Source organism: Homo sapiens, chromosome 7 (assembly GCF_000001405.40).
Source record: "Homo sapiens chromosome 7, GRCh38.p14 Primary Assembly".
NCBI classification, from domain to species: Eukaryota; Metazoa; Chordata; class Mammalia; order Primates; family Hominidae; genus Homo; species Homo sapiens.
In genome coordinates, this window is record NC_000007.14 from 133,738,387 (window position 1) to 133,754,612 (window position 16,226).

At 38.1% G+C, this 16,226-nt stretch overlaps 1 protein-coding gene across 10 annotated transcripts in view, besides 1 other annotated feature; it reads left to right on the forward strand.

Moving 5' to 3' along the window:
• EXOC4 (exocyst complex component 4) overlaps positions 1-16,226 on the forward strand; it is an 847,874-nt gene that overhangs the window by 485,309 nt on the left and 346,339 nt on the right. The window lies entirely within an intron of this gene.
• Positions 12,086-12,586: an enhancer, noted in NCBI's record as "OCT4-NANOG-H3K27ac-H3K4me1 hESC enhancer chr7:133435225-133435725 (GRCh37/hg19 assembly coordinates)". NCBI's record gives its function as "activates a minimal SCP1, AML or CMV promoter by ChIP-STARR-seq in naive H9 embryonic stem cells {active_cell/tissue: H9 hESC(naive)}" and the evidence as "EXISTENCE:reporter gene assay evidence [ECO:0000049][PMID:30033119]".

Below are 16,226 nucleotides of genomic sequence, written 5' to 3' on the forward strand. Positions count from 1 at the left end.
CATTTCTTGGAAATAGCATGGTGCTTACTTAGTGCAACATTGTAAAAGACAAGAAGAATTCCTTTGGAGAAGAGCTTTATAGTTGAGAATGTGGATAATGGAATAACAAAATGATAACTTCTTACTCTTTGAGCTGCATTCTACGAGACATTCTTTGTGATTAGCTATCAGACTCTGCATGTATGAAGAAGCTCAGTTGTTCCAGTCATTGTGACCTGTTTTTCATAGATAATTTTGACATGTATTTTTGGAGTTTTGAAAACATCATTTTTAGGGAATATGATTTAAAATATTTTTAAAGTAGTAATTATTAGAAATTATCTAAACTATTAGCTTCTTCTAATTTGAAGATAATGTTACATCTCCAAGGATACTGCAGAAAGGAGCTTGGGTACCATGTGAACCAGCATGCCTGTAAGTTTCCTATCAACTCCAAGTTGTGTTGGTACTTCCGTTCTGTTCAAATGGTTATCAGCACCTGAAATGAATATGCTCTAGATTAGTCTTCCTTTTTATATATAGAATACACTTATAAAATAGATGGATTACTTTAACAGTTTGTAGCTGTGAAGAGAGCGAAACCAACCTGCACAATGGAGACTGAAACATAACTTGAGACCCAAAGTGTACTCTTAGCTATAAAATGTAATATAAATGTAAATTATTTGTTGTGGTTCAAGACCTTATACTCTTACTTCTGGTGCCTTTTATGAATTCCCACCATGGTATAGGACTATACTTTTTCTAATAGAACAACAAAAGACATTTTATGAAAGGATGGCATTGAAGTTTATCGTGACATCTACCTACCTTACAGAAGCACATGTAGAGGGGTTTGTGTGTGTGTGTGTGTGTGTGTGTGTGTGTGTGTGTGTGTATAAAAAGAGATTTGTTTCAGGAACTTGACCTCGTTTAATTGTGGGATCTGGCTAAACAGTCTCTGTAAGATTTTTGTCTTCTCAACTCATGCTGGAGCTTGAAGTTCACAAGGCAGGCCATCAGAAGACAGAGGGATCATAAAGTCAGGGAGAGCAGTGACAAGCTGGAACTGCTAGAATGGGCTGGAATTCATGTCAGTTCTCCCTGTCTCCAGTCCTAATGATGTGGATGTCCTGTAGGAGAAGCATCATGGAGCTAGAGAAACACTTGGCTTACACATCAGTGAAGCAGAAGGGGGATCCAGGAAAGTTGGAGCAGCTGCCTCATGAAAAGTTGCTAAGCAGCAACATTAAGGCTGCAGCTGCTGAGTGTCTAAAACAGACTGGCTACTGCTTTACTTCCACCCTTCACTGCTCTAGCAAAAATGTCTCTTTTAGCCCACCCTAGCCCTAAACACACAGGGAAGAGAATTCTGGGAAATGCAGTTCAGCCTGGCCAAGTTGCACATTAGAAAGCCACCAAAGCAAATAAGCCTTCTGCATAACTTCTCTAATATTTCAAAAGGGTAGTATTCTGCAACCAGGGCTTTTTCCAACCTTCTCATAATACCTGGATGATGAAATTTGAGGCATAACCAGTGTATTTCCTTGCATCATTATTGTTACTGTGGGGCTGAGAGTCCTATAGCATGGCTCATTGTTTTTAAGGGTAAAGGATTCTAATGTAGCAAAATTAAGAGTAAAGAAATGAAGATATTAGAGGAAATTTCTTTGAAAATTTCATCATCAATTTATGGCATCCAGTTTTGTAATATTTCATATTATAATGTAGTTTGATTCGATGAGTTAACTTTAGCAAGCAGAAAGATACTACAAGCATGATAATAGTAATACTTGCTACCCTCATAGAACTATATGAAATAAAATTCTACTGAGTGTAAAAAAATAATGTTAGAACTTGACAGGAAGACTTGATATGCATTAGCTTGTGCACTGGAAGCAACAAGTAAGCATATGACCCTTTGAAAACTGTAGGACCATAAAATTCCCAATTTTTCACACATTTTATATATGAGTCTGCATGAATGTTAGCATGTACATTAATACTAAGACCTGTCCCTTAAACTTCAGGTTCTTGATCTTTTATTACCTGCTGGGATGGCAGAATTGCTTCATAAATGTAGTCCATCTTCATTTACATAGTGACACTGCTCAGGAGAGTCTCTGTTAAAAAAATTATCTGGAAACACTCCAACACTGTTGGGCAGTTTCATAGTTTGCTGGTTGTCTTTCATTAGATGTAATCTAACCTTCTTTCCCACGATGACAATATAAAATGCTTCAGAAACACACATCTCAGCAAATTGCTTTTCCTCATGACAATTATTTGTCCTTCTAATTAACACTATTCAGAATGAGATATTTTCTGAGAAACAAAGTCCCCTTTCTCACTCCCCCTTATAATAATAATTGCATCTACTTGTATACAGAGAGTTTACATATGTCATTTAATGTGATCCTCTAGGAATGATGGCCCCATTAGATAGTAGGCATAGGTTCTCATGGGAATGATGACCCTGTTCGATGAGTAGGCAGATATTAACATCCTCACATTAGAATTCAGGAAAGGAAGACACTGAGATTTGGAGGTATAATAGCTAGAGTGGTTTCTGTCTGTTACAGTGAGACCCTATTTGCCACTTTTAGTCAGTTTCCTGTTACTTGCAGCTCAATTAACACTGGTGGAAACAGTCACATACAGGGTAAATACTGGAGCTAGAACTTAAATCCAGCCCATCTAACAATAAATTCAAAGCTCTTTCAATTATCGCATGTGTAGAAAGTTGGTAAGAACTAGAGTTCAGTTTCTGGAAGATGACTGTCTACTTTTTTATTTCATCTTTCTTTACTCTTCACTTTGTCTCCTAAAGTAGCTCCCCAGCAGGTATCTTCATCTCTCTTCCCGTTCTTGCCTCTAAACACAGGTCTGTTCTTATTCATACCAGCTTGTCTCTCCCCACCAGGCCTGAGCTGACCTGAGCATGCCAGGGCCTCTTTCTACCCACTGTTCCAGCCCTGCTGCTCTCCTGCTGATTATTTGAATTATGTTTCAAGATATAGCTTAAATGTAACCTAAAAAATATGAAACCTCCCATTTTCTTTCTTTAGTTAACATAACACCTCGCTCCTGTCATAATTATTGTTCCTATCACATGGTATCATAATTATTAGAGTGTTTCTCTCCACTAGGCAAAGACCTTTCTAGAGAGAAAGCCTAGGTCGTATCTGGCCCTGTATTCTACCATCTGGGACATAGTTGGCACTCAGAAAATGTTTCCTGAACTTCTGAAACATTGAGTGCTCTAATTGAACTATGTGCACAGTACGGTATTACTTTTCAGAATTAGGTCATTCAAAATCCTAAAGATATTTTTCAGCTTTCATTTCTGAGCCTTAAATTTAAGGTACCTGAACTAACATTTCACTAAGGCATGTTTGAAACCCATATTATGGATGAGTATCTATGACTTTATCTGATGCTTTTTATACTGTTGTATAGATTGTAGTATGACTTTGTTTCTCAGTACCTTCCAGTGATTTGTTTGCCATTTGCTGATCTGGATTGGTGATGTAGTTATTCCAGAGACTAGCTGATTACAGTGCCCTCAGGGACTGATAAAGTTATTTTAATAGAAATCCATTTGCCCTTTTATGAAATGAATGCCCCCAAAGTCTATAGAATTGTCACGTTGTAGTGAATGTGCTGTTGTTGTTATTATAATACACTTTGTAGGTACTAAACTACTTCTGCGGCTGCTTCTACTGCTCATCGCACCATCTGTGTTGAATACCAGTCATTAGCCCTCTTTTTCAGTCTGATGATTTTTTAAATTCATTTTTCCTTTGAATCCATTGGATTCCTTCTCCTGTCACTTTCCCCATGCTTCTTGGATTAGACAACACTAACACCATTTTTAGGGCTGTTGCTAGCTAGCCCTTGAGAAAGTCCCGTTTTTAGAGATTTCTGGTTACCTTTAGCATTGAGAACTGCTCCTGCTTCATTTATTTCTTCTTAGAGTTTTGCTTTAAAAGATACAGTAAAACAATGCAACATGATACCCTGGTTTACCAAGGTCTTCTTGGCTCCTAGAGAAAGGATTTGCGACAACTTTACTGAATTATGTTTGCTTAAAGTGAACTACACCTTGATAGCAATTTAAGATTCTCAACATGTAAGATGTTATTAGTATTCCATAAAACTTGGATTTATGAGAAACCAAAAAGTTTAAAGTATTTTAGAAGTATTTTTAAAGCTAGTTTCATATCCTGCAGCAAGAAAACCATAAATTTCTCTCTGACAAAGGAATCAGAATCTGTTAAAAGCATTTGTCAGTGATACATTAATATTCACGATAGCTCATGCAATATTGCTTAGTTTTTGGTTTGTTTTTCCCCCCAAGTTGAGACTTTGAATACAGCAGCATTTAAAAGGGAACACATGTAGCTCGAAAGGATGTCACCTTCATTCCTGGGTTGTGCATCCCCCTGGAGTTGTTGACCTGGAAGTTCTAATAGAATATGTGTTAAAAATACGGGAAACATATTATTTTAACATCAAAAGAGGAACAAAGAAAAAGATTGTTTTTGCTTTTCCCAACTGCCCTCTGGTGGCAAAGGCACAACAGACAGCAAAGACGTTTAACAAAGATTCTTGCTGTGTAGGTGCTGCTGGTGGTTCTTAAGAGGCTCTTAAACCAAAGTCTGTACTGTACATGTGTGCTTCTGAAAAAGAAGAACAGAATATTGGGTCTCATAATTATATTTTACTTCCCAGCGGCATCTGTTCTTATCATAGTAGCACCAGGCTCTACTAGCTCAGTCAATACTTGTATATTAACAAGAGACAATCGATAGAAAAATTAAAAGGAAAAGTCAAGGTAATTAGGCTAAAGCTGCTGCTTATGGGTTTTCAATAATTACTTTAGCTTCCTCTTGTTTTCCCATCTCCAGAAAAATAGGGCCTGATTGAAGGCCCTGATTGAAGGGCCTGGGTCGTGTTTGACTGAGGACATGTCAAAATTATACAAAGCCAAGCAGGAAATAAAATTAAGCTGTATTTGTTTTAGAGCAGTAAAAGGGGCTTTGCATGATGGCATGGGAAGAATAGATGTTGATTTAAATGTACCCCTTAGCAGCTGTGCCATTGTTGGTACCTGTTTCATGTCATCAGTTTCTGTACTACTGGCAGTAGCCCACTCAAAAGCACTATGACATGTCATGTATTAAATTAAAGCTCCAGAGGAAGATAGCGAATGGATTTCTCCCCAAAACATCAGGATATGTTTGGAAACTAGATGCCATCCTTTATGAAACCATGAAATTAGTCAAAACCCCCCCATGGTTGCCATTGTGGGCCATACTTGGGCCATTGTTCTTTATGGACATAATTGCTAGAGATCACTGTCCATTTAGTGAGGCTTAATCAACAAGCCACACACATTGTGTGAAGGAGTCTAATCTTTGGTTTTGAGCTACTTGGGTGTTTTCGTGCCCTGATGCTGTGAAATCTTCTAAATACATCAGAGCCACCCTGCTTCTCACTGCTGCTTAGTAGGTTGGTGTGTCTGCCTCCTAGGGGAAGGAGAAAACCAGAGGATTTCCTAGTTTTGGAGAGAGAACTCTGAGGAGGAAGGATAGGCTACTGAGAGAGAGATTTCATTTTTTATGTTCATTTACAGTCTTCATTTGCACTATTTCTGTCAGCTCAAAGTACTTTATAAACTTTACAACCAAATTATGTACCAACATCATTTCATTCATTGCTGATATATAGCTGTTAAACATCTGCCAGGTACACATTTCCTGGAGGCAAAAAAAAAAAATGTGGAAGAGAATTAGATCTTGTTAAATGTTCAGAGAAAATGTAGATATGGGGCATATTATATGAAGATATTTATTGAGCACCTATGTACAAGGCATTATAGAAGACATCTTAGGTACAGGAAATATAGCAAACTCTTAACTCTGCCCCTCATCACCGCTGCCCCCTTGAACCTCCCCTCCTTCCCTCCTAAGTTTGTTAATCAAAAGTGAGTAATAGAGCCAGGATTTGAATCCAGGAGAGTCTGATTTAAAAGCACAAACCTTTCATTACGATTTTTACTTGATGTTTAAAAGAAAGCCTCTCTAGGGGAAGAAGAAATGTACGAAGCTGGTATTAACTCAGTGAACCCAAAATCTAACTGATGATAGAGTTGTTGGTTTGGGAGAGTGAGATAGAAGAGTATTGAATTAAATGTACATGCCCAAAGGCATTGAAAAGTTAAGATGAGGAAGCACAGATAGTACTAGAGCTTTGATGAGAACTGTTGTTAATTATTTTTAATGCCACAAATGGCTTTATATTATTCCACCACTGGTTAAGCTTGCATGTGTGAATCCCTGCTGTCTGTAAAACCTCCAGCAAGTAAAACCTTTGCTGATTGGTGACTTGGCTCTGTCATTTTTATAAGACTGTACCGAGGCTCGCAGAAAATGCTTGATTCTATACACCCTTTAGCTAAGGCCAATGAATTGCACATGCAGCCAAACCTGGACAAAGCTGATCGCTACATTTTTGCTGCTTTTTGCTCATGATCCCAAGCGTATAGAAGGTTCTAGCTGATGATTTCATGGTGAAACTAGTACATAATAAGCATTTGTGTTTTTTACTTAAAAAAAAGTTATTCCAAATGCATAATCACTTCTGGATCAGCAATGTCTAGAAATTTGCCAAGGAGATAATTTTTGAAAGTTCACTTTTTCTCCCCTTTCTTGATCCTTTTTATTTAATCATTCCCAGGAAAGGTTCTTTCTACTGCTCTGCCTTTTTTCTTTTATTTTTGTTGCTTCCATTGTCACTCCATATTTTTTGTCTTTACCGTTTTGATTTTCACCCTATAGAAAGTTTGTGTGCCAAATACCAAATAAGAATGATGGGATATTATGCAAGCACTAAGGCAGTAGAGTGTAGTTATGTAATAAGAGCTTACACTCGAGTACAGCTGCCTGGTTTGAATCTCAACTGTTCTTTTAATTAATTATATAATCTTTAGTAAGTTCTTTAAACTTACTGTCTAATTTTATCTATAAAATGAGAATTATAGAAGTATCTATCTTCTAGCATTGTTATCAATATTAAATGACTAACATATAGGAAGTATTTTGTACACAGTGTTCTATAAATAAATGTTAACCTATTTAATAACAAAAACTTATTAAATTATGTCTGTAAGGTATGTGTAATGATACAGAAAATGTTCATGAGAGAACTTTAAGAAACAGGATATAAAGTGACGTGATCACAGCTATTAAAACAAGCATTTAAACATTTTTGAAAAGACTGGAATAAAATAGGACAAAATATTAATTATGGTTTATTTTAGAACTATTGCCTCCTGTTACTCTTTTTTTTTTTTTTTTTTTCCTGTTTGGGTTACTTATCACAATCCACAGTTATAGTATTGGTCTATTTAGTTGGTTTTGATGGTCTCTCCTTCTAGCATGTATGTTTTAAATGAGAAAGGACTCAAGTCAATCTTTTTCTACCATTATATATTGTGTCTAATGCCAAGTGTCTGGCACAAGACTTCTCTTCAATAAGTACGTGTTAAGTGAATATGTTTACCTCTTACTTTTCTGTGTTTTTCAGTCATATTAACAGAAAATCCCTGTTACAACATTTTTTAAAAAGGCTATTTTTAAAACATTAGCTCAGCTTTGTTAAAGGCTTAAAATAGGTAACCTTAAAAGTATTACCCTATAGTTCATGGTAAAGTATCAAAGAAGAAGAAAAAATTTCTCATATTACATGTTCACTTGTTTTGTTTTGTTTTTAGAAGTGGCCATTCCAACTCACAGCCTTTATTTATTTTAACTTTTTGATGTTTTTCTTGTTAGCTTTTAATCAGTCTGAGAAAATCCTAGGTATATTTAATTTTCCCCTATTCTGTTTTACACAAACTAAAGCTCTTCCTTTTTGATTAGGATAGTTAGTTTCAAGTGACATAAAGAACTTTCGTTACTTTGCTAGTTAAATGTTACCTTAAAGCCTTATTGTAGGTGAGGAAATATCCCTTTTTTTAATTCCAAAAATTGTAGCATGATTAATGAACTCACAGATTCCTTTAGTGGTTTACTCTGTGTTAATTATCCCAGTGCCAGAGTTTCTACCTAGTATGCTTTGACTCACTGGGCCACAGTGCATTTCTGCCTAAGGCTGGGTTACATGTAACTTACCTGCAGATATGCCAGTGAGAGGAATACGTGTTTCTTTGCCAGAGACTTTGCTTTCCAGTAAAACTTGGCCTTGGCATTCGTTGTTGAGGTTCATAAGGTTTTCTGTTAGCTCTGTAATTCAGTGCTCATTTTTAAAGATGAAACTTCAGTGAAATAGGATTGTAACGATACACACAGGTTCATACAGAGAAAATTCAAACAGAATGCAGAAACCTTCTCATCTGTTACTAAAAAATTTCAAAGCCAGAGATGCAGCCCATCTTTCTCGTGATTCCTCATTCAACTGCCAGACTGACAGCAGGAAATTCTACCATGATCCTTATGAGTCAGGGCAGCGTTTTCTCTTTTCTAAAGAGGGTCTCACTGAAGGACTTTAGAGAAAGCAAAAACAGGAGATGAGAGAAAGAGAGAAGGAAATAACTTGAGGAAAGTCAGAGGTTCAGACTGGTGTTTATTGACTGGGTAATACTAGTAGTACAACTACACCTGGGGAATGTTAGGAATTAGGTCCAGACAAAAGGTATGTTGTTTGAAGCAGCACTTAGAAAAACATCCACTTCTCTGAATCTTTGGTTGAAGTGACGTAATTAGATGTGCATAATGAATCTTCCAGTAGCATTTTGTTACTCTGAAGGTCTGAGACTTTTCTGAGCCCTTAACTCCAAGTTGGTAGTATCTTCAGTTTTCTGAAATACCATGCTATTATTGCTCTATATTAAGATCTGTTGTTTAATATAATATTGGAAAGTATTGCAGCGAACACACCTAAAAGTAATTACTATTGAAAGTAATGTAGTCCAGAATAAAGACAACTGTACGCTGAGTAGAAGGAATAAATGGTACAGGTTGAATTTTTCTTATGGCAGTGGTAGTACTGTTGGGGATGGTGGTCACTATCACTGTTATTTTATTTTTCTTACAGGGAATAAACTTGGCATGTTTAACTTGTGGTTAGAACGCCAAGAAGACTAATATTATAGTATATAGTAACATTTATTTAAAATCACACTAGAAATAGTCATAGAAATTGATATGCTGTATCAAATGAAATAATTTGTGAATTGATTTTGAAATGCGTGTACATTGAAGTGTATGTTGGTAAAATGATGATGGTGATGTACCTTTCTGACCTTGGTGTATTCATTTACCCTTGTCAAAAAATAAAGGTGATTTGAGCTGTTTTGCTCCTCAGAGGATCCAACTGACCATATAACCTGACTTCCTAGCCACTCTGTTGCTCCCCGCTCCTTCATCCCCACGCCAACATAACTGCTCCTATTCTGAGACAGTGTTTTAAATCTGTATTATTCAGCAAGAAAAACACAACAGTCAGGGAGAATATCAATTATTTTCTTGCCTATCCGTACCATCACATAATTGCAACATCTACATCCTGATCGAAGATTTGGTCTTTCAGATTCAGAATGTCTCATTAGCTTTTTGCTCCCTGTCTCATACTGAAAAAGGAGAATCTAAACAGTCACAAAGACTAGCAGACCAGTAGATTTTCTCTTCCCGGGGGCATATACCTAAATCTTTGTGCTAGACCAGCCCTATTTGCAGATCTAAGAGCTGCTGGTGTATTATGACCAGAGACACTGCAAAGCCTGTATTGCCCCCAGATTTTTGTTTTCACTGATCAATTATTGACCTGTCATCTTTCTACCTGGCCTAAGATTTCTACCATGATAGTTAATACTTTGGCTTAGACAATGAACCTGAGGATTTTTTTTCAAGAATGATACAGTTTTGAAGAAAGACCTTAGATCTTAGAACTCTACAGTGACCCTTCTTCACTAACACACTGTATCAGTAATCTAGGAGAGTATGAGCTAGGCAGGTTTCAACATGGGGAAAGTGAAGCCTATCAATCAATGAGCCCCAGGGATGAGAGGAACCACATGAAGGCCCAGATTGCCTAGGCATTGCAGAGTTGCACTGGGGTCCCCAAAATTACTCCCAGGTTTGGAGATTCACTAGAAGGACTTATGGAACCTTAGCATGTAATTTTATTTATGGCTATGATTTATTACAGTGAGGTAGTAAGGTTACTCAACTGGATAACAAGGGGAAAAAGCACAGGTGTTGAGGTCTAGAGAAATCCATGTACAGGCTTCCTGTGCTCTCTCCCTTCCCTGAGAGGGTCATATAGAGCACAGTCTTCCCCAACAGACAAAAATGCAGCATTTGCGAGAGATTCAGTGCCTAAGATAAGGGACTTGTCACCTGGTCACGTCAGCAACTCTCTCACTAGCATAAACCAAAATTTCAGACTTCCAGAAGGAAATCAGGTATTTGGCATAAACCATGTTATTTGCACAGTCTAGCATAGGAAACTACCCTTATCAGTCAGGGAAAGGTAAGCTCACTTCCAAAACCCTAGTTCCCAAATGCTACTCCAAGGCCAACCTTGCAGACAGGCCCTTCTTAAGATAGCAGCCTCAGACTGCACAAAGATAAGTACTTGGCTTCAAGGATTTCAGTGGATAGGCAACATGTAAAAATAGGCTCAGGAGCCTGGACAGTTGCTGCCTGTTTTCATACATGAGAGATAAATACTTTTGTGCTTGCATTCGTACATATAACTCACTATTAGTAATCTAAGGGAACTTCATTACTTGGAAATTAAATTCAGGAGATTTAGGTGCCCTGCTCTTTTGTTTGAGAATCACTGCCCTCTGTGATAGGCTTTTCACTGGAGCCTGAAGGGATGATGGAAAGGAGAGATATTCCCCCAGATGGCCTACTTTACAATTTTATCCATATCTCTGGGTCCTGATGGATGGTGGCCCATATTTAAAAGCTTTCCGCATAATCAGAATGAAGAACTCTAAAAATGTGACTTAATTGTTTTGAGTCTTTTTTTTTGAGCCAGAGTCTCACTCTGTCTCTCATTGTGGAGTGCAGCAGCATGATCTCGGCTCATTGCAACCTCTACCTCCCAGGTTCAAGTGATTCTCATATCTCAGCCTCCGGAGTAGCTGAGACTACAGGGGCGCACCACCACACTCAGATAATTTTTTGTATTTTTAATAGAGATGGGGTTTCGCCATGTTGGCCAGGCTGGTCTTCAACTCCTGACCTCAGGTGATCCACCCACTTTGGCCTCCTAAAGTGCTGGGATTACAGGCATGAGCCACCAGGCCTGGCCTGTTTTGAGCTTGTTCAATCTATGTCATAAGTAAACCTAATCTTGTTAAACTTCAAAGGAATAATATTGTGTCTAAAATTTCAATTCAAGCACTGAGCATGATATGAACTAGTATCTTAACATCAAACCAATGGTCAATTATTTTTCTAAGCTAAATTGCTTCTCCTTTTACAGTACCTTGAGGTTCAGTAGAAGACGAACCCTAACACTTGTTTAAGATATTCTGCTCTCCCTTATTGGGCTTCCTAAAGGTGGTTGGCAGTTTTTTTTTTTTTTTTTTTTTTTTTTTTTTAACCAGTGGATTTTGGTGCCATGAACTCTAAGCAGATAAGCCACTGAGACCAAAATGGGATTGCTTTAAATTTAGCAGAAGTGAAGGAATGGTACAAGGCCTAATGTGTTTTTCTTGGGTCATAAGCAGAGAAGGGAGGTTGTATATTAGAATTATCTGAGGACTCAGATTACATGGGCTTCTGTTTCTCCACTACATCCACTTCCCATTGTCTCCTTTCCCTGAAGACTCTGGATTCTGTGTGTCCTTAACAGTGAGCCATTGTCATGATCATGGATGGAAATGTGCTTGATATTTCAAGCATATTTAGATCTCGATGTGTTTAAGGATCATTGACCTGAAACACTTTTCAGGGTATCCATTGAACTCCATTTCCTTAATAGGTCTTACACTCTTTTGGTTTTATATGGTGTTCCCTAATCGGAGATTCAGAGCACCATTGGTAGCTCACTTTCTTCTGTAATGAATATATATGTAAAGCAGAATGCCTGTGGTGCTTCATGCTGTGAGGAATCCAGCTTTAAAACTATGGTGTAGGTAGTGTGCTGCTAGAGAACGTGAGTAACTGTTGTGTGAGGGGATTATGGACTTGTTTTTAACCTTTTTTTTTTTTGAAATAGGGCCTCATTCTGTCTCCCAGGCTGGAGCACAGTGGCACAGTCATGGCTCACTGCAACCCAAATCTCCTGGTTCAAGTGACCCTCCCACCTCAGCCTCCCAAGTAGCTGGGACCATAGGCTCACACCACCATGCCCAAATAATACAGTTTATTTTCTGTAGATAGGGGATCTCCCTATGTTGCCCAAGCTGGTCTCAAACTCTTGGGCTCAAGCTGTCTTCTTACCTTGTCCTCCCAAAGTGTTGGGGCTTACAGGTATGAGCCACTGTGCCCAGCCTTGAACTTTTTTGATGGGAAAACTTACAAAGACCCATTTTTGGAGAAGATAAAGTTTCCTGAAATACAAGAATCACACCACTTGGACAGACGTTGTTTGTATTTCACGCCCACACAAGTGTGTTAGTGTGGAGAAGGACCATTTTGGAAGAAAGTACTTTTTCCTCTGAACTGGTTTCCTGAATCCTTTTGAGTTTCATGTTTTATGGAAGACCATCAAAATATTTGGAAGGCCAGCTTATTTCATGGTCACAAAGGCAGCTTTAATTGCTTGCATAAAGTTGGAGCTTGTCTTTCTCCTTTTCCAACAAAGTGACATTTATTAGCAATTCTCTGGTAGTTATTTGTAATTGCACTAGTATTCACCATTCCCAAATGTTACAATTAAATCATTTGAGAGTCTAGTCACATTTCTAAGCAGATGTACCAAATTACAGCTCAAGACTTCTGCTTGAAATCTACAAATCCAATTAGTAAAATTTTGGGGCTGGGAAGGGTTAGCCAGGGAAAGACCTGAGAAAACACATAGCCCAAAATAGTTTGAAATTTCCTTGCTGCTTTGCCTCCACCCAAAGTTGATTTGTCAGCATGTAAGGGGGTGTTACATCTTTTCAGAAACTGCTTGGTTTTCTTTTCATTCAAGTTTAATTGGTTTTCATGGACTGAATTGAAGCAGGAAGGCATAAGTTAGGTAGATGATGTAAGTGAGCAAATCTCCATGTATAGCAGCATCTTGATTTGGGTGTTTGTTCTTTGTTGTTCTTTTATTTCTGTCAAAACCACAGCTTCATATATAGCTCTTTTTGTCACATGAGTTTTTACGTTGTCTTAAAACTGTGAAACAGTTACATCTAGTTTTCCTTTTTATCTTGATTCAAGAGCCCTTGAAACTATCCTTTTACATACTATTTTTTTTCACTTGGAACGGCTACTCTATTATATTCTCTGAATTTTCTAATTTATTTTCTTCAAGACCAGCATTAGCCAGGTGTTGTGACCCATACTTATAATTTCAGAACTTTGGGAGGCCAAGGTGGGAGAATCGCTAGAGGCCAGGAGTTTGAGACCAGCCTGCACAACATAGTGAGACTATCTCTCTACCAAATAAATAAATAAATAAATAAATAAATAAATTATCTGGGCACTGTGGTATGCCTATAGTCCTAGCTACTTGGGAGAAAAAGGCAGGAGGATCTCAGGAGCCCAGGAGTTTGCAGGTACAGTGAGCTATGATCGTGCCACTGCACTCCAGCCTGGACAACAGAGTGAGACCCTTTCTCTTAAACAAACAAACAAAAAGACCATTATCTAAAATTTCTTCCTCTAGTAAGTATTCCTTTTCTGGAGGACTCATTTATGTTTCTCAGCACTTAAGAATTTAATTTTACTTGTTTTAAAAGGCGGACTCTGTGATGAAGAGGAAAAAGCGAAAAAAGCATGGGTGCAGAGTCCTAAGTTTTTGGACTTGCAACTGCCTTTGCTGCTTTCTGTCTCTGTGAATTTGGTCAGATCAGTTAATTTCCCAGTCCACAATATTCTCATCATAAAATGGGACTAATGGTACCCACCTTTCTGGGATGATGTTTTCTCGTTTGCTTATTTGTTCTTTCATTGATTCAGGATATGCATTGAGCATTTACCCTGTGTGAAGCCCTGTGCCAACACCAGAATGTCAGGAAGGACATAGTCTATGCTCTCATAAAACCCACCATCTATTAGGGAAAATGAACATTAAAAAAGTGGTTATAAGTGTGATCACTGTTTAAAAACAAAAAACAAAAAAGAGTGAGTACAGGATGCCATGGGAGCATTAAACAGAAGCAGCAAGTAGAAACCATCAGTCTTTCTTTTTTGATGGGGTATGGAGAGAAGGCACAAGTAACTTGACTCAACGTGTAAATGTTAACTTAATGAATGTCTTCACGAAGGATGAGGAAAAATAGGCCTTGTTTTGCTGCCCTTAGCAAAGCTTGCAGGTGTTTCACCAGTCTCAGTTTCCCAGTTCTTCTCAACCTTTGACCGCTCCACTGGCTCTGTCAGACATCATCCCACACAGATGCCCACCTCTGATGCCATGTTTTGCTAATGCCATCCTGCTTAGGCAAAGCTGGTTCATTTGTCTTCCTTTCTCTGTTATTTGATCACTTCCACTTCTGCAACACCATTCTTTTTATCCTTATCCTGAGGAATATTCTTGATATTTTTCTTCGTCATATTGACCAACTCTTTTAAAGATCAAAGAACTCAATCTTTTAAAAATGTGCTTTATGTGTAAATTATGTTCTGTGCCTTTTCAGCTTAAATGTATAAATATAGAAAACTTGATCCATTAGGAATAGGAATGGGAAGAAGCTGAGGTAACTGTTCTTTCCAAAGACCAACTTTGTAGTCCTCATTGTAACTGTTTATTTTCTGAATCTGCTACCTTACTGTGGTCTCAGTGAGGCAGGATGAGAATTTATTCACCTTTGTGTTACTAGCATTGACATCCAAGGATGACAGACACTTGATAAAATGTTGTCTAAGTAAGGGACTATATTAACAAACATTTAGGGCTGAGCTTAGATGATATCTAAACAACAACCCAAAACTCTAGAAATCAGCTATGTAAATATCTAATAGGCACTGCAAGATATAATTACTACTACAGAGATATACTGAAGACATTAAATCGCCCTACCAGGGGAGGTGCAGAAGAGCTCGATGAATGTTATACTATTTATGTTAAAGGCTGACAAGAATTTCTCCAGGTGAACAAGGAAGGAAGCACATTCCTGCCTGAGGAGTCAACCTGCAGAAAGCATAGAATTGGAAAGAATCTCACATTTTTGCACAGCTACAAGTTTCTCACTGTACCTAGCATGCTGAGTGTATTTAGTGGCGTGAACTTGAGGCTGGAAGGGTGGGGCGAGGCTGGAGCCTAACGGCCTGTTTTACAGAGGACTCAGAACTTTAGACTTTATGGGTTGTGGAATGTTGAAGGAGTGTAAGTCAAAATGATTTGATCAGATTTGAACTTTTAGCAGGTGGAAAAAAGGGAAGAGAAGGTGATTATAATTCTTCTAATGTGCCAAAAATTCACATTCTTTATATATACTAACTCATTTAATCTTCACATCTTTGATGCCCACAATAATGTGTCAGTCACGTAGAGGATGTTTTGAATGGGGGCAAAACCAAAGGCAACGAAAGTAGTTTATTATAATACCCTGGTTGAGAAATGATGGGTCCTTGAAATCAGATTGTTTCAGTAAGGCTGAGATGAGGGGTTTTGTCACAAGAATTGACAGGTCTTAGCCTGTTGGAGGTAAAGGGGAGGGAGAAGGCCACGGTGATCCCCCAATTCTGCCCTGGGCAGCTGGCGATGGCAGTGCCTTTCTCTGAGCTAGAGACTGAGAGCAGAAGCAGCTTTCTGGAGAAAGATGTTAAGTTTAGGTTCGAATTTGTGGCATTTGAGGTCCCAAACAAAAACTGAGAAGGAATACGCTTGTTAGTTAGGAATGCCTCTCAAGAGCTCAAAGGGCTATCAGTAAAAGGTTTATGGAAGGGAGTTGTTGGTACTTGGGTGCTAGCTGGAACCATGTCAGTAGTGGAACTATGGAGGTTGTTAAATAAGAAGAGAACTGGGTGACACTTTAGGGAACATAACCATTTAAGGAATGGTCAGAGGATGGGGACTAAAGGGAAGATTCTACTACTATATACTGTTAACATTTTTACTGTGATAAAATC